The sequence below is a fragment of the Homo sapiens genome, chromosome 17 (assembly GCF_000001405.40).
Source record: "Homo sapiens chromosome 17, GRCh38.p14 Primary Assembly".
Classification (NCBI taxonomy): domain Eukaryota; kingdom Metazoa; phylum Chordata; class Mammalia; order Primates; family Hominidae; genus Homo; species Homo sapiens.
The window spans coordinates 55174038-55197365 of record NC_000017.11 but is presented as its reverse complement, the minus strand read 5'-3'; the positions used below and the strand labels follow the sequence as shown (position 1 = coordinate 55197365).

At 39.7% G+C, this 23328-nt stretch overlaps 1 protein-coding gene across 2 annotated transcripts in view; it reads right to left on the bottom strand.

The window, feature by feature from the left end:
* STXBP4 (syntaxin binding protein 4) overlaps positions 1–23328 on the bottom strand; it is a 244509-nt gene that overhangs the window by 15908 nt on the left and 205273 nt on the right. The window contains exon 18 of one of the 2 annotated variants that reach the window (XR_007065289.1): positions 21297–21507. Coding sequence is in view for 1 of the 2 variants with exons in the window: in XM_047435714.1 (XP_047291670.1) it covers positions 21492–21507 (16 nt within the window). In the remaining variant the exon portion in view is untranslated. Of the gene's footprint in view, positions 1–5210; positions 21508–23328 lie in introns of those variants that run through there. The other variant, XM_047435714.1, reaches the window with a different exon arrangement.

The window sequence follows — 23328 nt, the reverse complement described above, 5'->3', positions numbered from 1 at the left end:
TGTCCTGCCTTCCCTCCCATTCCAGGTAAAGTAGTAAATTTCCCATTGGTCACTTTCATGTTGAGGGGAATTGCATTTTCCTATGTCCACTTAAGTCTTTGGAGTGTTCCCTCTAAGCAGAGCTAAGAAGATCCACACAACAGTTCTCCATCTTGTCTGCACATTAGAATCACCTGGGAGTTTGTTTTTAAATCATGCCTGCCTTCCCATCCCCCAGAGATTCTAATTTAATTGTTTAGCGTTGAGGTGCCTAATTGTTTTAATGTGTCAGTAGTTTTCTAGGTGATTTTAATGTGCAGCCAGATGTAAGAACGACTGAGTGGCAGCATCCCAGATTGCCTTCCATAGATCTAAGGATCTGGCTTATTATATTAAAGACCATCAATAAAGAGAACGTGGCTTTCATTCAAATGTTGGCTGGATCTATTAGAAACATGTTGGAATGAATGCATGCTCTTCATCATGACATTGTTATGACTTGGCTATTTATATGTCATTCTGCAGATCCAACTGGTTTGTCCAATACCTGTGGGTTTAGACCTCAAACTTCAGAGAATTGTCATCAAGTCTATTCTAGGGTGAGGTGGGCTATTCTTAGAACATTCATCCATTCATTCATTATTTAAATATTCATTCATAAAACAGTTACTGAGTACTTCCTATGTGCTAGGAATGGTGATGGATGCTGGAGAGATGTATATCTTAAAGGAGCCCACAGTCTAGTTGTGGGGAACAGACATGCAAGTAGTTGCAATATAATGTCATACAAATTATTTACCAGAGCAGTGGACACAAGAGAAGATCACAGAAGAATACGTGATCAATTCTCTATGGTGAGTAAGGGAATACATAAAAATAAAACAGACAAGTTCAACTGGGTGAATGAAAGCTCAACAAGTTGATACAGTGTAGGGTTGAATAGAAAATTTTACACAAAGGGAAGATGTTTTGCAAAGCTATGAGGATTCTGAATAATGCTGTACGTGGAAGTGGAATATAATTTGGTGGAGCTGGCTGGAGTATGGGGTGTGTGGCAGGGAATGGTACGTGCTAGGCAGATAGTGATCACGGAGGCACTTGTCTGCTATCCTTAGGAGTATGAATTTTGATCTCTAGGCAATGGAGAGCCATTGCAGGGGAGAAAGAAGCAGATGAATCATGTAACATCTGAAAAACATGCAGGTCATCCTGACTGACCAGCTCTCCTGAGACTACCAATCAAGTCATTGCTGAGCCAACCCATATTGAGGGGGTTCAGAGAAGAGGTAAACTACTTAAGAAAATACAAACCATTCCTTCATCCACTTAGTCACTGAACAAACATTTATCAAACACCTACTATGTGCCAAGCAGTAGGGATATGGCAGGATTTCTGAAGCTGGACACTGTTGGCATTTTGGACATACAGGATATTGGGGAGAGTGGGTTGTCCTGTGAGCTATAGAATGTTCAGCAGCATCTGTGGGCTTTACCCACTAGACGCCAGTAGCACCTCCTTCCTCTCTCGCTGACACTGTGACAACCAAAAATCTCTGCTGGTTGAGAACCACTGGGATACAGGGATGAATAAGACATACCCCCTGCCCTCAAGAAGTTTACAGCCTAATGCAGAAAAGAAGAGATATGCATTTAAAAAGCCCAGTGGCTCACACCTGTAATCCCAACACTTTGAAAGGCCAGGATGGGAGGATCACTGGAGCTCAGGAGTTCAAGACCAGCCTGGGCAAAATTCCTACAAATAAAAATAAAAAATTTAGCTCGGTGTGTGGTACACATCTGTGGTTCCTGCTACTCAGTAAGCTGAGTTGGGAGAACCACTTGAGTCCGAGTTGTTGAGGCTGCAGTGAGCTCTGATCACACCACTGCACTCTAGTCTAGGTAACAGAGTGAGACCTGTCTCAAAATAAATAAAAAATTTAAAAAATTAAAAGGCACAGTTCAGGGCTAAAGAGGGGAAATACATCAAAGAAATACAAACTGTTACGAAGGCTTATATAAAAGGGAAACAATGTTCCCATTTGGGGTAAGCAGGGACATCTTCATGGAGGTAGAGGGTTTTGAACTGTGCTTTAAAGTAGCTCTGGATGAAGGTGAACTGGAAGGACTGAACTTCATAAGATCTCTGGACTCCCCAGTCCCATCTAGGCGTTCCTTCTGCATAATTTGCCCGGTGGATGGTAGCTATCTGCCATCTGGGCTCTGCTGATTGGCCCAGGGGTGCTCACCTAACCAATGTACACGCTGACTGTTGACCCATAAGGTGACCTAGATGTTAACATTTCTCACTCATTGCTTTAATAGGACTGTTTGTTTCAACCAAATCACCATCCCTCCCTTGCTTGGTCCAGATTGATATTTAGGTGGTATGCACAGGTATTGATATTTAGGTGGTATGCACAGGTATGAGTACTTGATGTCTAGGTTTCATTTTGATTGCTTGTTACTTGGGCTGTGTCAGCTCATTACCCTGGCTCTTCCACTCAAAGAGTACTGTTCAAATGATCTTCTATGTAAATGGTGCCCCTAGAAACATGCAACTCACACTGCTCTACCTGTCTCTACCTTTCTCCACCAGTGATATATAAAGTGAACTAGAATATAAAAGGCCTGACATTTCTCCACTGGACAGGGTTCAGGTATGGCCTTGCCTCTTAGCTTTTGTTCTCTTGGCCTCTGACCTTCTGGAACCTATGATTGATGCTTGTGCCTTCTGTCTGTCTGCATCAGTAAAGTAAATTTAGTTGAGGCAGAAGGTGAAAGATCCCACAACATTTTCTTAATCTAGTCATTAACAGACAGTAGGAGGGGCGAGTATTAGCTGCTTTGCATGTAATCATATTTAGACCGGTTCCATGCAACCACATAGGTGGTTCCATTGCTTTAGAGGCAGCAATGCGGGATGGGGGACAGGCCAAATAGGAGGAGCTCTAGATTCCTCACTGCTACTTTGTTCCCTTGTTCCGGAATAGTGTATGTGTTGTGTATATGTATATTCATATTTATATATATATACACAACACATACACACACAAATAAGAATGCCTACTATTTTAAAAATGTTTTAAAGTGCTGATGCAATATTTTTCATATTGCCCCAACTTCTCAGTCTGAGATCAGGAACTAATCTAAGAGCCAGCCTGCCTGGGTTCACTCTATCACTTCTTGACTATGTGATTCAGGGCAAGTTGTATGACCTTTTTCTGTCCATTCTGTACCTCTAGAATGAGGATTATCATTTCTGCCTCATGGGGTTGTTATTAGGATTGAATGCAGGCATATGTGTAAGGTGCTCTGAAATGTCTGGAGCATCAGAAGCACCATGCAATAGGAGGCTTCACATGGCATCACTTCCCAATTGCAGAAAGCCTTCTTTTCCCTGAAATTCTTCCTCTGTTGGTTGCTCATGCCTAGATTTCTCTAACTGAGATGATTACAAAATGCCTGCTTTTAAATGTTAATGCTTCTTCTTCCTGAGATTGGTGATGCTAGTCCTTGCCTGTCATGGACACCTTGCTGTAGGAATTAATTACGTTTTTTTTTTTTTTTTTTTCTGAAATCAGGTCTTGGTTAAGGCAAAGACAAGCAGAGGAGGAGGCCCAGGAAGTAAATGATGGAGGGTTCCAAAACCAAATTTCTAATTCTCCAAATTTTTGAAGTGATATTTAGAAGCCCCTTAGTTTAGAAACTGGTAGGGGTTTTTGTTTTGTTTTGTTTTGTTTTTCCTTTTTTTGTCCTCTTCCTCCCTGAAACTATTCATCTCACCAAACTGTAGATAACTTCTCAATTCACCATTTCCTTTCTCCTTGTATTTTACTGCCTAGCTCAAGCCATCATCACCTTCCTTTTGGGTGGCGGTCTTCTCCAAGCTTCTCCTTTGTTTTCATACATCCTGGTGAGATCTTCTCCAAACCATGATGAGAATTGATGTCAGGTTCTGTAGTAGGTTGTTCTCTCTCAAACTGTGCTCAAGAATCCTACCACCCAAACTTTTTTGCCTGCTTTCAAATCCCCATAATCAGGTTCATTTCATGTATTCACCTTTAATTTGATTCCCTTGCATGTGGTCCTTTCATCTAACGTGGTTGTCTCAGCTCTCCTTTACTCGCTCTACCTCTCAGGTCTCTGTTTCCTCATCTTCCTCATGAACTCAATCTTTTCTAAGCTCACTTCCTGCTCAGCAATCTAGAATTCATCCTAGTCCCTCAGACTGGAAAGTCTTCCTCAAAATATATGCCACCTATCTGCAAATATCAGCTCAGAACACCAGTCCTTTATGTAGCTTTCATGAGTGCTCCAACCCAAAGTCATGTTTCTCTTTTCTGAGTCTGTTGGCACTCAAATTTTTATTAAATCTTTTGTGCACTTGTGCAGTGGTTAAGTGCATGGTATTTGCAGTCAGAGAGATCGCTGCAGGTTTGAAATCTGGCTCTACTAACTATTGGCTGTGTGAATTAATTTCTCAGACTGTCAGTTTCCTCATCAGAGAGGCTCCTCTGGGTCAGCAATATAAGACAAAGATTTGAGTGTCTGTGTCTGTTCAGGTTTGAATCCAGCCTTCACTACATACTGGCTGGATCCCCTGAAAGTTAGTTAATCTCTCTAAGCCTGAGAATTTTCATCAGTAAAATGGGCATACTAAGAGTAGAGACTTCAGAGGCTGACTGTGAGCACTAAATGAGTAATCCATGTACAAAGTGTTTAGCAAATTCCTGGCACATAGTGATTATGAATGTGGGGGCTAATCATACATCTTGGAAAGAGTGATTTCTCCCCTCTTCAGGTATTTCCTTTCATCCAGAAGGAACTCAATTGATGTAGGAGTCCTGGTCTCTTTCCTCCATTTTACTCATTACACTTTGAAGGTGGCGTGTGTGTGTTTAGGGTGAAGTAACTAACTTGATAGGTTAATTTAGGAAGAACAACTTTCAAATTGAGCACATTCAATTGTCCCTCCCTTTCTTCCTCTTGACACCACGTTGCTCACATGAAGTAAGTCCACTTCTGTCATGCCATACATTTTACAGTGGATTGCCTTTCCATTGAGAGGTCTGCTGTGGTTCCAGGATACCTGTGAGTTTATTTACTTCTGGGATGTAGTATTGGAAAAGCCATTCATCTGAAAATATACACTCTATCCTCCAACCTATAGTTTATCAATAATAGAGATGATACATTTAGTCCCTTTGTCTTTTTATCAATTCACTCAGAACTCAGACAGACAGAATTTTTTATTGGATTCAATAGCACGTATTTCTTTTGGTTTTGGTTATGATTAAATTACATAATTCACAAACTTATATAGCACAATCCCTAGCCCTATTTGTCACTTCCATTTAGCTGTTCTTGAGTTATATCCTTTATAATAAACTGCTAATAGTAAGTAAAGCACTTTCCTGAGTTGGGTGAACTGTTCTAGCAAATTATCAAGCATAAGAAAGATGTTGTGGAAACGTACAATTTGTAACCAATCAGTCAGAAATACAGGGGGCCTGGGATTTTTGACTGGTGCCTGAAATTGGGGGAAGCCTTGTTTGACTGAGCTCTTAAGCTGTGGGATCTGCACTATCTCTGAGCAGTGTGAGAATTGAATTGAATTGCTGGATATCTTGAGTTAGTGCCTGGAGAATCAGAGAATTGATTGTTGGTATCGGAGAACACCTCAACTTGACACTGTACATTCAAGGACATAGTTTGGTGGTCAAGTATGAGAAAGAGTAATAGAAAAAGAGTCAGAGACTGAGGTAGATGCAGAAAGAGACTAAGAGAGATGGGGATGAGAACAGAGACAGATGAACTATAACAGAAGACGTCTATGTCCCCTGAAGTGTCAGGGAAATAAGTATTGCTTAGGTTGAAGTTGTTGAGGGACCACTATTTGGTATTTTGAAAAAATAAGAAGGATCCTCCATTGTCATAACCATTTGAAGAAATTTCATCTGGGAAACACAGACTATGATTATCTTTCATCAGGAAGAATGCGTTTTCTCCAGCTGGTGTCACAGAGCTGGAAATGCAGAATCTCAGGTCCCACCCCGGACTTATGAATCAGATTCTGCATATTGGCTCCCAGGTGGCACATATGCACATTGTAGTTTGAGAAGCCCTGTCCTGGGGTATTAGATCAGTAAAGCGAAAATCAGACTTGGGTTCTAATAGTCCCTTCAGCACTCTCCAGCCACATGACTCTAGAAAGAACCTATCTACCCTGAGTTTCAGCTTCCTCATCTGTATAATGGGAATAAAAGATCTGCACTCCTTGTTTTAGGATTTGTTGGGAAGAACCAATAAAATTGGAATATGAAGATACTTTGAAGACTGGAAAGGGCTCTGAAAATGGAAGCTCTCCAGTTGCTCAGTAAATGAGGCTAGGGTGGGGATTGGCCTTTCCCCTGACTATCACTTGTGAGTTTCACTTTACTGCTACGGTCATTCTCTCTGGCTCTGAGTAAACCCCACCATGTGTGAAGGAAATGTGAGCAAGTCAGCAGATGAAGTGTGTATTTTTGAACACGTTAATTTCTTTATCAGCTCTATTTTTTTTCTGAGGGCATCACTGTATTACATTAATGCCTTGAGTTGTTAACAATACCAGCTGGCACTGCAGGTCTCACTTATATACACAGTGTAAAAGCTCAGGGAGTAGCGTGGAAATTGCCACCCAAACCACAATGCTGGATCTCCTCCTTGGCATGCTTATTATCTCCCTCGGGAGCAGATCCACCATTCCTTCCTTTGTTTTCAAAACCCTTTATTTATGATATTATTTGGCATCTATGCAATTACTTTTGTTCTTCTGTGGGGTTTGAGGCCTTGGGAGATCACAGACTTTATAGTTTCTCTTTTATCTCTGTCTCTTCAGGGCTTGGCATGTAGCAGGAATGTCAGACATATCTGTGGCATATGAATAGTGGTGGTGGGGAATGTGAAATTGACCATTGTATCCCTACTTATTCATTCATTATTAGCATCAACGAATCTTTCTCAGATAAGGCCATCCTTGACAGTATACATGAGGTCTTGTGCACCCCTATGCTTCCCTGGAACCCTTTCAAAATGCTCATCACACATGCAGACATTTAATGAATATCTTTCCTGAGAGCTTGTGAGCTCTCTGAGGGCAGGGATTGTTCTGTTCCTTGCTGTATCCTTGGGTTCAGGACAATACCTGTCACATTATGGTGTTCAATAAGTATTTGTAGAATTAAAGTGATTCACTAGAGATTCCAATTCTTGAGGATTCCTACCTTCAGTATTCCTTTCTAAAACCAAATTATCCCAACAGTAAAATTTCCCCACTTGGAAATCTAGCCAATTTTTTCCCCGTTTAGAAAGTTTCCCTATCAATTCTTTTCTCCAGTGGCCTACTGCCTAGAGGAAAGGAAAGTAACACTTACTGAACTGCCTACTTTCAACAATATATAATAAGTGTTATTTTCTCTACTCTTCTAGAGAGGAGAATGATGTTCAGAAGGTAAGTGGCATGACTAAGAGGTACTGTGGGGCAAGGCTAGGATTCTAACCCAGGTTTAATCCAATTTACAGTCACTCTTCCCACTGAATCACACCACCTGGGTAGCACATAGATGACTCTTATACTTTCTCATATTTTTCGTCTAGCATCTGTTTTTCAGAGCGTAATCTTGTTTGAATAGGGCCACAGAACTGGCCAATGTCAGAGAGGACTGATATTCCAAATTTAATTACTTGTATAGGTTTATTTTCAACAAGAATTACTTCATAACTCAGCCTTCACTCTTTCAGACTAAACTGTCTCCTTCCATCTGGGGCACGTAACTTGACCGTGGCCTCACTTCGTCTCTGAGATCTAGGGCAGTGATGGGCAGCCTGTTTCTTGTAGATGCTTGTTGATGGAAAGGTTGATCCTTTCATCCATTTGTTGGAACTGGGTTAAGGCTCAAAGTAAGCTCTGATGCAAATGCATTTGGATTTTCAGAAAATCCATCTTTCTCTCTCTTAGATAAACTATCTGTCCTTAGCTTCAACTTACACAGGGCTTGTTCAAGTCACACATTTTATAAAGTCTAAAGAGGAAAAGTGGTCATCAGTGTAATTATTGTCTGGATGTAGACTCTTTGATAACCATTACTAAAAAATATATATTCTCATAATTTACTTTTCATTTAATCTATTAATGTTTTACTTGGTTTTTTGAAGCATCCTTTCAGCATTTTTTTTGCCAAATATATATTCTATGTCCCCCTTGCATCAGGCCTTCTGCTGGGTACTGAGCACGCAAAGGGGAGAAATCATGGATTCTAGCCTCAAGTATAATTCATTCCTACAAAAAGTGCCCACATCTGCTTGAGGGACTCAGAAAAGTCTTCCCAGAGGTGGCAGGCTTTGATGGAGACTGGGTAGATGAGGAGAATGAACAGGTCTGGAAGCAGACAGTGACTAAAAAAAGAATGAAATACGGATAATGTCTGGGTACAGTAAGAATTGATACAAAAGCAACCAATTCTGCAGTTCAGCAAGTTCTGCCCAAGCTCTTACTTAATGCCTTTTAATGACAAAAAGAAATTTTAACGGAAAGAAGAGGAAACTCGGAAAGCATTTAAGAACATAGTTTTGCTCTGAGACCATTCTAATAGATGGTTGCTGTCATTATGGAATCACTTTGGTAGAAAGGATCTCTGCACTTCAATTGCCAGGAACCAGGGTAAGAAAATTCTTTGTGGGATCCTTTAAAATCAGGAGTGGCCACAGTGCTTTTTGAGTGAGACAAAGAGGAGAATGCAGTCACTGAGAATGGAATGGCAGCTCTAATAAAGGGCCCTTCTGTTAGTGGCAGTGCCCTCTGCTACTATTCCATAAGGTGCTCTGGAGAGAAAGAGGTGCGTGTCTGTCCAGTTCCCAGGTATCACTGTTCTAGGGAGAGAGAAGCAATTTCAGATAGCTGGAACATGGGTCAGAATTACAATGGGGACTCTGGTTTAGACTTGATGCATGGGTTCTTTTAAATGCTGGCTCTCCATATGACTTATTCATCATGCCATATTTCCCAGGGAGCATATAGTCTAAATTCTTCTTTTCAGATGAGGACAATGTGACCCAGACACATCCAGCAACTTACCGTGAGTTACACAGCCAGTTAGTGCAGGTCTTCATTAATCCAGTGCTGACCTTATTCTGCCATATTCAACATTAGTTGATTATTTATTTCATTAATAATTATTTACCGAATGCTTACAGTGTGCTAAACACCTTGTTAGGCAATAGATTATCTTCAATGGAGAGGCAGTATCTAGTGATGGTTTCAAAACTCACTGCTGTTGGTCTTAGATTAGTTGCATAACCTCTCTAAGGTGCAGTTTCCTCATCTGTAAAATGGATATGATAACAGTGCCAATCACAGGGACATCATGAAGATTAAATGAGATAATGCATGTAGAGTTCGGCATAGCATCTGGTACACTTATTACCAAGGTTGCTATGGTTTAAGCTTTCTGGGCTCTTCTGTCAGAGCAAAGATCTTTGTTACTCTTTAATTCTTATGTCTGCCTGCCCTAAAGATGGTTATGAAAGGTTTATTTCTCTGAGTGCTTTCATTCTCTCTAAGTCCCTCTAAATCCCTGATCGACAACTCTAGAGGGCTGGAGCTTATCTCCCTCACAGCCATCCCGTGGTCCAGACACTCCTTCCCCACTCCTCTGAGTTCTTGGCAGCCTCCCTGGGGGGAAATTCGGATGTGTTCTCATTACAGCCTCACAACCTTGGGAGGAAGCTTTGTCAGCGCTCAGTGCATTTCCTGAATCCATTTGGAGAGGAACACTGGGCCAGCTCCAGGATGCTATATCATCCATCTCTGAGACCAGCCAGGTTTGGGTTGGCTCAGAAGATCTGGGACTTGTCATGATCTTTGGCATTCTAAGAATGGGCTCCATAGAACACTGTTGTTGTTGTTTTTTTTTTTTTAAATCATAAGCAGCACAGCACATCAGCCTGTTTGGCAAGAAACAAGGGAGGGGTGCAGTTTATCACATACTTGGCTGTGAATATTCCTAACAGCATAATAGAGTTTTCATGGTTCCTTCCCAAGCTTGATCACCTTTAATGTAATAAGTCATCTTCTGGGCAAGGTTTCTGCATATACATGGACATCCTGCCTCTCTGCTCTCCTTTTGCATCTTGCCTATGAGGGTGCATGCTGCCTACTTCTCTGCAAAACCAGTTGGAGGGAAAGCATACCAGTCAGTGTGCATTAATGACGGCAATACATTCCCTGAAGGAGGCAGAAACCTCAGCAGACGCCTGGAACAGATTTGCAAAATACTCTGTCTGCATAAGGCAGCTCTGGACATCCGTGTATTTCTTCGCCCCACAGCCTCTAAGCCTCACTTGAATGAATACCTTTCATGGTTTCTTTGTCCCTTTTGATTTGAAGAGTGAGCTCTTTTTATTTTGGGTCTTTTAAGGTAATTTTGGAGGATCTTTGTTTTGCTTGCTGTCTCTTTTGTTGGTCATGTGTGAAAATAAGGATATAGCTGTGAAATGGAGGAAAGAGGAATGAATGGAGAAAATGAGAAAGGGAGTGATATTTATTGGGGACTAATGATAGTATATCTATTTGTCATTTAGCCTTCATGACAACTGGATAATCAACTGGCAAAAGATCACAGAGACCTTGTGTATTCCTCTCCACATTTGTCTGTCTCCAAAGACCATGCACCACATCACAGATAAAATGATTTTGTCATTTTATTACCTCTTCTCTAAGCCAAGAATTCATTTTTGATCTTCAACTCAGCTGCCTTGTAACTTCCATGTTCCTTTGATTGAACCATCATACATCCTTTAGAATTTGGTGCATTGCATATTTTCCCCATTTGGATTTTAGTAAAGATATATTTTCTTTAAATGCCTATTCTTTTACAACACTACATACTTTGATTTACTAAACAAAGCCAACCAAGTTTTTTCAAATTTGCTTAGTTTTAGAAGTATTAATATATAATGAGGCTATTAATTCTTAAGATCGCTTTTTCCGTATTTGTTAACTTGAAATATAGCTAGAGCTTTTCTTTCCATGCATTGTTTTCCTCCTGAAAATTTCTTTTTATGGCATTCACTATTTAAATGCATTTATGCACTGCAGGATGGGTGAGAGAGCGAGATCCTGTCTCAAAAAAAATTGCATTTATCCCAAGCTAATTTTTTCATTTATATTTGTGGTCATAAATTAATGTATGGTTCAGTGTCAGCAATCACGTGGAGGGTTTGTAGACAAGTAATTGCATAGTGGTGGTAAAAGCTCTGTTTCACAGAGGATATATGGAAGGGGTTGGCGTAGTAATTGTTATGTCCACTCTAGATCTAACACCCTGTTATGCACCATCATCTTCAGGATAAAGTCCAGGCTGCTTCATGCTCTGGTGCCTCCACACATGGATCCTGGGTCCCAGCCATGGACAGCCATTTACAGCTTCCCAAACTCACCAGATTCTCTCCTTTCTCCGTGCCTTTAAACATGACGTTCCTCTGCTCAGTTCACCCTTTTCGTCTTTCTCCAGATTATGACCTCCTGTAAGGCTTGGGTCAACCATTAATTCTGTGAGGAAGCCTCCATGCCCTGAGTGGATGCGTTGAGTCTGTCTCCTCTGTGGTCCTGGCACACACAGTAAGTGCTTTGCCCTATCAGAGTAGTTGTCCTCAGATGTCACTGCCCAGTACTCATCTGCTCTCTCCACTCCGGTCTTTGACTATGAACACCTTGAAGGCAGGTGAATTTTTAATACCATTGGAAGTTGCTCATGTTATAATGCTTTATTTTCATTTTCATTTTGAAATAATATAAAGACCTCATATATTCTCCACAGAGATTCCTTATTAACATTTTACTTCATGTACCTTATAATTTCTATTCTCTTTTCCTCTCTATGTGCACACACACACACGTACACACACCCCACTTGAGAGCAAGTTGCACACATAATGCCCCATGGCTTTGTAATACTTCAGTATGAGAAGAAGAAGAAGAAGGAGAAGGAGGAGGAGAAGGAGGAGGAGGAGGAGGAGGAGAAGGAGAAGGAGAAGGAGAAGGAGAAGGAGAAGGAGAAGGAGAAGGAGAAGGAGAAGGAGAAGGAGAAGGAGAAGGAGAAGAAGAAGAAGAAGAAGAAGAAGAAGAAGAAGAAGAAGAAGAAGAAGAAGAAGAAGAAAAAGAAGAAGAAGAAAATAGTGGCCAGGTGGTGGTTCATGCCTGTAATTCCAGCACCTTGGGAGGCCGAGATGGGCAGATTATTTGAGCCCAGGAGTTCTAGACCAGCCTCAGCAATGAAGCAAGACCTCATCTCTACAAAAAATACAAAAATTATCCTGGCCTGGTGGCATGCGCCTGTATCCCAGCTACTCAGGAGGCTGAGGTGGCAGGATGGCTCGGGCCCAGGAGGTCAAGGCTGCAGTGAGCTGTGATGGTACCACGGCACTCAGCCTGGGTGACAGAGCGAGACCCCATCTCAACAAACAAACAAACAATCTTTCATACAACCAAAGTATCACCAAAATCTAGAAATTAACATTAGTACAATAATACCATCTAATCCACAGACCCCCTTCAATTTTTGCCTATTGTTCCAATAATATCTGCATAGGTCCAGGAGCTAATCCAAGAAAACATTTATTAGTTAGGTCTCTTTAGCTTCCTTTGCTCTGGAATAATTCCTCAGTTTTCCCCTGACGTTTATGATGTTAACACACTTGAAGACTAGAGATTACTTTAAAGAATACTCCTCAGCTTATATTTTTCTGATGTTGCAATGAGTTTTTTAAAGCCAGGTAAAAGAATACATATGTATGATTCCATCTACATAAAGTTTAAAAGCACACGAAAGGAATACATACTTTCAGAAGTTAGGATACTGGTTACCTTGGAGAAAAGGAAGAGCTCAAGGGGACTTCAAGGGTGCTAGAAAGTTCTATTTCTCCTGTGTGATGCTTATACAAGTGTTTTCTTTGTGATGATTCACTGAATGGCATATTTATATTTGGTACACTTGTGCATGTGTTATACATTATGATAATAACTTTTTAAAAAATAGTAAAAATTAAATTTCTCTTCTGGTTATAAATAATATGTCACATTTTCTCTTTGAGATTGGGAATGTAACAAACTTGCCCTCTACAACCTCTTTTCAATAATTCACTAAGCAACTTAATAAGGCTAGAAAAAGTAATAAAAGTTATACAATTATAAAGGAAGAAATAAAATCATCATTTGTCAGATGAGGTGATTTCAGTTCTTTGACATTGGTTGAGAATTGTGTTATGACCCAGAATATGGTCAAGTTTTATAACTACTTCATGTGTATTTGAAAAAAAAAGTGTATTTTACAGTTGTTAAGTAGGATAACAATTAAGTCACATTTATAAATGTGTTGTTCAGATTGTCCATAACTTTTTCTGATTATTTTTGTCTGCTTATACTGCAAGGTATGATGAAAAACTCTTAGTGAGATATTGAAATAATAACATAAGCTTGTATATTATTTGGTTCACATAAATGTATAATTGCCACAGCTACCTGGCAAATTAAACCATTTTTTATTATGAAGTTTCTCTTTTATTCATTTGTGACAATTTTGGCCTTCAAGTATACTTTTCTCTGTTAATTTAGTGATACTACCTTTCTTTCAGTTTTTCTTTGCACTGTATATCTCTTAAAATTCATTTGCTTTTTATATCCTTTTACAATATCTCCATGTTGAAATGACTCTTGTGAACAAGAGTCACAGTTATAGTTGACCTTTGTTGAATTATAAAGTCTGACAATCTTTGCCTACAATTGAGGCATTTAGTCCAGTTACATTTAATCAATTGCTGATATATTTGGCTTGAATCTGTCATTTTAACATGAGCTTTCTACTTATGCCAACCAATGTATGTACATATTTCTTGTTTCTTGTCTTCTTATTTATTATTTATTTTTTATAGAGACTGGGTCTTGCTGTCTTGCCCGGGCTGGTCTTGAACTCCTGGGCTCAAGCAATCCTCCCACCTCAGCCTCCTAAAGTGCTGGGTTTACAGGCATGAGCCACTGTGCCTAGCCTCTTGTCTTATTTTATGTTAGTTGAATTTTCCATTTTTTTACTTTTACTAACTTTATGGTGGTTGATTGAGAGATTACAACATTCATCCATTACCCATTAAAGGCTAATGCTGCTTGGTAGTTTTTACCCTCTTTATGTAAAGTGCAAGGACATTAGAATATTTGAAGTCTACCCTCCTTTTGACTTATATGCTATTGTTGCTGCCTATCAATAGGTTTAGAGATATTTAAAACTCTATGAGATGTAATCATTATTGCTTTTTACAGTCAATATTCATTGAACTCTAATCACATATTTATTCTTTTATTTGATTTTTATTCTTTCTTTCATCTTTAAGCTTCATTTGGAGTAACTTGTTTCTTAAAAACTTCCTTTAACATGGGTCTCTTCAATTCTCTTGACTTTTGTTGTCTAAAAAAGTTTTCATTTTATCTTTGTTCTTAAAAGCCATTATTGCCAGACATAGAATTCTAAGTTGGCAATGTTTTTTGTTGTTGTTGTTGTTTTCCTTAGCACTTTGTAGGAGTAATTCTATTGTTTTTTGTCTCTTATTATTTCTGTTGACATGGTAAGTGGTCTTTTTTTTTCTGTCTGCTTTCAATATTTTCTTTTTGTCTTTGTTTATTAGAAGTTTTACTATGATGTGTCTAGATGTGGCTTTCTTTGTATTTATCCTACTTGGGGTTTGTAAGCACTCTTGAATTTATGGCTTAATATATTACATCAGTTTTGGTAAGAATTCAGTCAATGTATATTCAAATATTTTTTCTAACCCATTATTTCCCTCTGTATATTCTGAGACTCAAATTATACGTTATCCCTTCTCATTGTACTTCATATTCTCACTGTACTTCATATGCCCTTTAGTCTCTTCTGTATTTTTATTCTTTTGTTCCTTCTTGCATAATTCTGGATGTTTTCTTCCATTTCCCTGTTTTAAGTTGTGCCTAACTGCTGTTAAACACATCATGGAGTTCTTAATTTTGGTTATATCTTTTAGCTCTAAAGTATCCCCTTTTCTGTGGTTTCCAATTATCTGCCAAAATCTCGAATTTCGTCTTTTATCTCCTTTATAAGAATTGCTAAAGTTTGTGACTAATAATTCCATTATCTAGAACTCTCTTTTTGCTGTTTTCTCTTGATTCTTGCCTTGTCTTCTCATGTGCTTGGTTTCTTTTTACCACCTGCTGGATATGGTAGTATGAAAATTAAGAAAAAAGAAAAAGATAATTTGTGTTTATTTATGGAAGATAAGTAGGGGCACTAGAATCTTTGAGTTATATTGATCCAGTTTCAGGGACTGAAATGATTTTAATCTTGTCTTCAGTTTCTGCAAGGGTTAATCTTCCACTTTACCCTTACTCATAGGATGTTGAGCCTTTAAAGTTCCAAAGATTTATCAGTACCCCTTTGGTGGGCTCTGGACTCCTCCTACTTTTGTCTCTTTAACGCTAATGAATCTGTTAAAATTTCTGTTCAGTAACTCATACCCTTACTCACCCCTTCTAGAATCAGCAGATACCCTAAGGGTAAATAGGCTCAAATGTTTAACTTATCTCTATTGGTTTCCATCTTCTTTCAGATATCAGTCTTAGCATTTCTCATTGCCTTTTCAGCTTTCCAATGACTTTAGCGATTATTTTTAAGTCCGGATTTTCTAATTGTCTTCAGTGGGAGTGTTGGTTTGAACTACTTAGTCCACCATTTCAGATGCTATTTAATTATCTTAAAAATTAAATTTCCCTTTCTCTGTGCTTCTTATGGGAACCAAGGAGAGGGATGCAGTTCAGGCTTGGGCTGTGAATTTTAAGGTGAAAATAACATTTTCCAGGGCCTGAATGAGATATCAGCAAAAGAATTGTGACAGCACTCCAAAGGGAAGGTGAAATTTGAGTAGGAAAAATTCAGCATTACTGCTTTATCCTCTCATTGTATCATAGGTGACTCTGTTTTTCCTATAATAGAATACAATTTAATTTAAGATTTATTTAAAAAATTTGTACCTATAATTACAACTACATTCTAAGAAGGCTGATTATTGATAGCATGAGGACTTTTTCAAATTGCTAAGCACCTTGGTAGTTCTGAATATTCAAGAATGGTAGAAAAACTAGATAAGTCTGCAAAGTAGCAGAAGAATTTAGAGTCTTATGTGACAATCAGATGAAGGAGCTGAGAAGAAACAAAGGTGAAAGGTTAAGAAGCATAGGTTGCTAGTGTGATAGAGTAATGTTATGAGTTTAGCAAAGTGAACCTGCATCTGTCTCCACCTCCATTCCCCCAAATGTTAGTGAATTGAAGTATACTCAGCTCTTGTAGCAGAAAGTAAAAAATGGATTGTTTTGTGTCAGTTGACATGATGTAGGATGAAGTCTTGGAATAGGAATCTAAAAGGAATTTTGACTTCTATAGGCCATACAGAGCAGGTGCTATCCACCTTGACCTCTGAGATATGCCTAAAATGGTCTTTCCTCTTGTCTTAAGTCTCTTCATGGGAAACTCCCCTCAGTAAACCTGAGCCAAACCTAAGTTTCTCTGTGATGAGGGAGGCTTTCTGTCATATCACATTATTGTTCCCACACTGGTAATAGTGAGGTGTTACAGCTTAATGACAGAAAGCATGGTGGTCTCAGAGTTCAGAAACCAGCCTTTCAATTCTGATTCTGTTTCAAATGATTGTAGAGTTGGTTGCCTTACCTGTAAAGTCTCCATTTCCTCATCTCTAAATTGTAATTCTTTAGACTGGTGGTTTGCAATTATTTTCTGGGGATTCCTTTGTTAAAGCAAGGTCTTAAATACATACATAAAGCAAGTAAAAAGAACTCAGGTTGAAGTGTAGGGGTGAACAGGGACAGAAATCTCACCCAACCTCAAACTCCCCAACAAGGCTTCACAGAGTATCGTTTGATGACCAGTGGACTTGAAAGTTCCTATAGTTCTTTTAGTTCTAGGTTTCTCCTTATGCAAAGAAGAACAAATGGCATCTTTCAGTTGTCCCCAAACAGTAGCTATTTAAGAAAATATTACTACTTTTTCCTTATGGAGGTGAGAGGAAGAGAGTGGAAGAAAGCTCACATTTACGACGGTCTTATCATGTGCCAGACATAGAGCCAGGCACCTCCTTAACCTTCATAATGACTCTGTTGAGTTGGTTTTGTGCCCAATGGAGGAGGCACCTGCAGCTCAGAGATGAGTATTTAGCTCAAGGTAACAAAGCTAGTATGTGGCAGGGCTTCATGTCAAGCTCAGCTCTTTCTCACTCCACCACCAGACATGGAGGTGGTGGGTAGAAAGTGGGCACCTTAGTAAATGAGATATCGGTTTGAGTCAAGGAAAATTCCATGGAATATTTTGTGGTATAGATATATACAGTTGACCCTTGAATGATGCTAGTGTTAGGGGTGCCAATCTCGCCACACTGCTGCAGTCAGAAATCCACATATAACTTTTGAGTCTGATAATAACACACTGATAACATAAAGTTGATTAACACATATTTTGTATGTAACATATAGTTTATACTATATTCTTACAACAAAATAAGCTAGAGAAAAGAAAACATTAAGAAAATCATAAGATAAAATACATTTACTACTCATTAAGTGGAAGTGGATCATAATAAAGATCTTCATCTTCATCATCTTCATATTGAATAGGGAGAGGAAGAGGAAGAGGAGGAAAAGGAGGGGTTGGTCTTGCTATCTCATGGGTAGCAGAAGTAGGAGAAAATCCATGTATATGTGGACCCATGCAGTTCAAATTCATGTTGTTCAAGGATCAACTGTATATAGCTTTTTGCCTTCAGATTTGAACTCATTTTTGTTCAGTTTTATATAGGAGAGTCTAATGAGATGCCTGCAGCCCAAGGATGTGCTTTCTTTTAGTTCATGGTCTAAGCTCTTCTTTGCTTGGTTACCTATACTCACAGGTCTAGTCTGAAGGGTTGGCAAGAAGCTGTTAATTAGGCCCCCTCCTTTATTTTTTTTTCCATGCTCTAGGAATCAATATGAGACATTCCTTTATTTCTGAATTGCTATCATATATTTCCACTTTTCCCCAAGAGTATTAAATAGTCCCAGTGGTAGTAACTCTTGCCATGAATTAAATGTGCAAGATGTTGAAAAATTTCCTAAGGGAAGAAAAAAATTATATGTAGCTTTGATTTCATTATGATTATACTGATGATTGGTTTTGGTTTCGGGCAATGTGGAAAGGGCTAGACAGATGTAAAATACCAGATCTACAATAATAACAATCACAATAATATTGCTAATAAGGCACTATTTAGTGTGATTTTATATGTCAACTTGACTGGGGCACAGAGTGCCCAGATATCCTATTAAACATTTCTGGGTGTGTCTGTGAGGGTATTTCTGGGTGAGATTAATATTTGAATGGATAGAATGAGTAAAACAGATTTTCCTCCCCAGTATGGGTTAGGCCTCTTCCTCCATTGAAGGTCTGGATGAATAAAAGCTGAGTAAGAAAGATTTCTTTCTCTCTGTTTTTGAGCTGGAACATTGATCTTCTCCTGCACTTGAACTGGACCTCAGCTGTCCTGGTTCTTAGGCCTTCAGACTCATACTGACACTATACCACTAGCTCTTTGGAGTCTACTGTAGCTTGCAGATAGCAGGTCATGGGAATTCACAGCCTCTTTAATCATGTGAACCAATTCCTTACAATAAATCTCCTTATATGTATAAAACAAATCTATATATCTCCTATTGGTTCTCTGGAGAATTCTGACTAATACAGTAAGTGATTGCAGTATAGCAGGCACTGTACTTAAGTGCTACACATAACTTATTTAATGTAATCCTTCACAATCTTATGAGTGAGAGGTCTTTGATATTTGCATTCTGCAGATGAGGCTGACAGCAGGTAAGTAACTTTATTAAGGCCATATAGCTTGAATGGGGGACATTCACAAAACCACATGCCATGTGGCTTTAAATAGTTCAATGAATTTATCTGAATTTATGTGTTAAATGGGGACAATAATGCCCACGCTGAAGAACCGTCAGGATTAAATGAGATGATAGGTGTAAAGTACTTGGAACAGGGTGGGGTGCATGGTAGGGACTCAGAAATAGTAGCTTTTGCTACTTTATTTCTTATTTGTGTTAACAAAATTTAGAGGCTTTGCAGCTTGTGGAATAGATCTCATTCCTCTAACATGATATATCACCAACATCTGAATTTGATCATTTGTTCATCTCCATTAAGCTCCAATGATATTTCATGTTATCCTCGGGAAAAATGTGATTACTGTGACATTTAAAATTCTGCACAACCCAGGGAGAGGGAGGACGCACACATTTGAAAACAAGAGGAAATCCTGGTTAGACTGTCATTAGACAACTCCAGGTTGCCATAATTTAGGGAGTGGAACAGCTGCAAAGGTCACCAGGAGGTGCTTTGTTTCCCAAAAGGTGTTTGGTATTTACTTTCACTCAGGCATGTTCCTTCTGCTCTGATAACCATTGTCATCTTCCATTACAATAAAAGATGTCAGAGGGATTTTTACAGGCATATGGCATTGATTTAGTTTTCCCCTCTGCAGTCATAAGAGTTTGAAAAATGAAAACAAAACAAAGCCTCACTCAGCCATTCATCAATTCCTGTTTATTGGACAGCAATCATGTGCCACACAGCCAGGAGGACAGAATCTCCATTTCGAAAGTGATGGAATGAACAACCTCCTTTCAAAGTGTTGGCTCTGGTGTGCTTCCTTCTCCATTTCCTCTCCAGTCTTTGCAAAATGAGTCAGAGGACTACACAGATTTCCTTGGGAAATTAACAATATCAGCCACATTTTCTTTTCATCATGTTATTTGGAATTATGACTGTGCTTTCTGGTTGCCAGAGCCTGTTCACGTCCCTTCACTGCTTGCAATAATCTAGTGAGGTAGGCAAGACAGGCCTGATTATTGCTGTTGAACAGGTGAGGGCGCTAGGCTTAGGGAGGTTGAGACACTTGGCCAGGGTGTTACAGCCAGAGAAGGGACCAGTCTGAAAATTTCCTCCACTCTTGTTCCTTGCCCAGCTGTCCTCTACACCTGGGAGTTTTTAAAAACAAATCTTATTATGCCATTGCCCTGTGTTTCAGTCAGGGTTCTCCAGAGAAACAGAACCAGTATCTTCATATGTATCATTATAGGTACAGAGATAAGAGGGAATTTATTATGGGAATTGGTTTGTGTGATGACAGAGGCTAAGAAGTTCCAGGAGATGCCTCTGTAAGCTGGAGAACCAGGAAAGCAGGGGTGTAATTTGGTCCCAGTCTGATGTCCTGAGAACTGGTGGGGGCCAATGATGAGACTCTCTTCTGAGGCCTGAGAACTAAGTGGGGAGGTGGGGATAGGGTGAGGGTGGGGCTGGTGGAAGGCCCAATCTGAGTCTCAAGGCCCCAAAACCAGGAAATATTATGTCTGAGGGAAGAAGAATGATGTCCCATCTCAAGAAGAGGGAGAGAGGATTCTCCCTTCCTCTGCCTTTGCTCTGTTCAAGCCCTCAGTGGATTGGATGATATTCACCCACATTGCTGAGGGCAGATCTTCATTGGGTCTACTGATTCAAATGCTAATCTTTTTCAGAAACACCCTCACAGACACACCTAGAAATAATGTTTTACTAGCTATCTGGGTATCCCTCAACACAGTAAAACTGACACATAAAATTAATGATCACACCGTACTTAAGATCTTTTGTGCCTCACCCTTACTCTTAGGGGAATGTCCAGATTTTTTAACATAGCTTATGAGGCCTTTTGGCATCTGAGCCCTGCTTACTTCTCCAGAGTTATTTCAGGTTATTCCTACTGTCCCCACCTGGTTGCCCACCTGAAGATGTGCTCTGTTTACATGGTTACACTGAACCCCACAGCATCACTCTGTCTCATCACCCTGACATTACTCAGGAGGCTCTCTCACCTTTCCTCTTCTCCACATGCCTCGTCAATATCTACGAATCATTTACATTTCTGTTGAGGCATAACTTCCTCCAAAAAGCCCTCGCAGACCACTCTTTCCTGAGTTACATGCTTCCACTATGTGCGTCTGTCACACTTACTTCCTCCCCTGTGCTGAGTTTGCCTTCTTCTCTGCTTCACTTGACTGGCTGTAAGCTCTGTGAGAATAAGAACTGTGTATCTCATCCATGGGCAGCATCTGTGCCCCTAGAAGGTGGGCGATAATTACCCATCAAAAAATGAATGGTTTGTTTACTCACCCATACTCATCTTTCTCAGATAGCAGACCTCCTCTTGCACATGCGTCAGGAATCACTGGATTACTCCTGTGCCAATTATTCCCCACCTGCCTCTCAGTTCCATCTGTGATCTTGTCTGTGCCTCAGGAGGAAGTAGAGACCTATAGATTGTCTCCCCTGGGCTCTCCTGCTGAATGCTTTTGGGTTGGCTTCCTTCTAGCAATGGGAAGCTCTAAAGCAGAAGGGAGGATGGGAGAGACAAAGGAGGGAGTGAGATTGGGATGGCCTCATCTCTTTCTATCCTTCTTGCTTTGACACTATATTCCAATACTAGCTGCATCCCTCTGCAACTACAGCTCTGGCAGGGTGCCTGATCCTCCACGGTCTCATTTTCAGTGGTTTCCAGTGACATTATGTTCCCCTTTGTCCCCCGACTCTAAAAGCAGAGAGATAGCTTCCAGCCTCCTGCTAGTTTTTGGGTGCTTCACCATCACTTGCTTGTTCTTTGACCCCTCACCACATATCTATGAGCAGCGCCTTCATTTGGACCATCTGTGATGGATCCTATTTCCTGCAGGGTTTCTGACTGATAAACTCCTCTGCTTGGTGCAGTAAGAGAATGATTTTCAAATAGCCTGGGCTGGTTTCTGTCAACTTTAGATTCTTGAAGTTAATTCTCAAGACAGCTCCAGATTGCTGCCTTATTATACAGACATAGACAAAAATTTCCAGAAGGCTTGCAATAAAATTTCCACTCTCTGCTTAATTTTCAGCATTTCTGCTATGAGCATCAGCAGGTGTCTTTAGATTTCAAAAATCACACTGTTCCAAGCAGATTTGGTATCTATACATCTATATAATTCAGTGGTATAGAGGTCTCTCCCCATGCTTAGGAACTACTCTGCAGTGTTCTCAAATTTCCTCCCAGTTCATTTTGACTTCCTGTCATTTGACTCCCCTAATGGTTCTCTTATGAAGGCCACATCCACACTCAAAAAATGTTTGTTGGAATGTAGGGTCATTAGTGTGAAAGGAGTTGCAGATGCCATGTTTTGTTTGTTTTTTTTTTGAGATGGAGTCTCGCTCTGTCGCAGGCTGAAGTGCAGTGGCGCTATCTTGGCTCACTGCAAGCTCCGCCTCCCAGGTTCACGCCGTTCTCCTGCCTCAGCCTCCCGAGTAGCTGTTTCCCTTTAAAATCCTGTGATCTTATAAATGACATTTTTTAATAGATTAAAAGTTGCATTATCTAAGAGGAATATAGGAATGGAGTGAATTGTGATAGGTAGATATCTGGGATCTACTATAACTTGGAGAAGGCAGAGCCATTCTTAGATCTGAAAACCCTGGCTTAGAAACCCAAATCAGATCACTCTGTGGTCTAGGCCAACCTAAACAGAACCTGAGGTGCAGGGAAGTTGTATGTGTGTAAACTGGTATATAGGTGAAATATGGAAAAGTTGAATTTAGACAAGAAAATATTTGAAAATCACATATCTGACAAAGGACTTGTATCCAGAATAAAGAACTCTTAAAACCCAGCAGCAAGAAAACAACCCAGTTTAAAAAAATGGGCAAAATATTTGAACAGAAATTTCATCAAAGAGGATAAACAGATGACAAATAAGCAGATGAAATGTTGTTCAACATCTTTAGCCATGAGAAGAATGCAAATTTAAACCATGATGAAATACCACTACATACCCATGAGAAAGGTTAAAATAAAAAATACTGACAGTACCAAGTGTTGACAAGGGCATGGAGCAACTGGAACTCTCATACACAGCCGATGGGAATATTAAATGCTACAGCCATTCTAGAAAACAGCTTGGAAGTTTCTTGAAAAGATAAGCAGGCAGAATAACATTCTCCCCTACAAATGCTCATACCCTAATTTCCAGATCACATGAAGATGTTACCTTGAAAAGCAAAAGGGATTTTGCAGATGTGATTAAGAGATGAACTTTGAAATGGTGAAATTATCCTGAATTTTATCATGGTGAACCCAATCTAAGCAAGAATTCTTAGAAGCAGATAACCTTTCATGGTTGGGTCA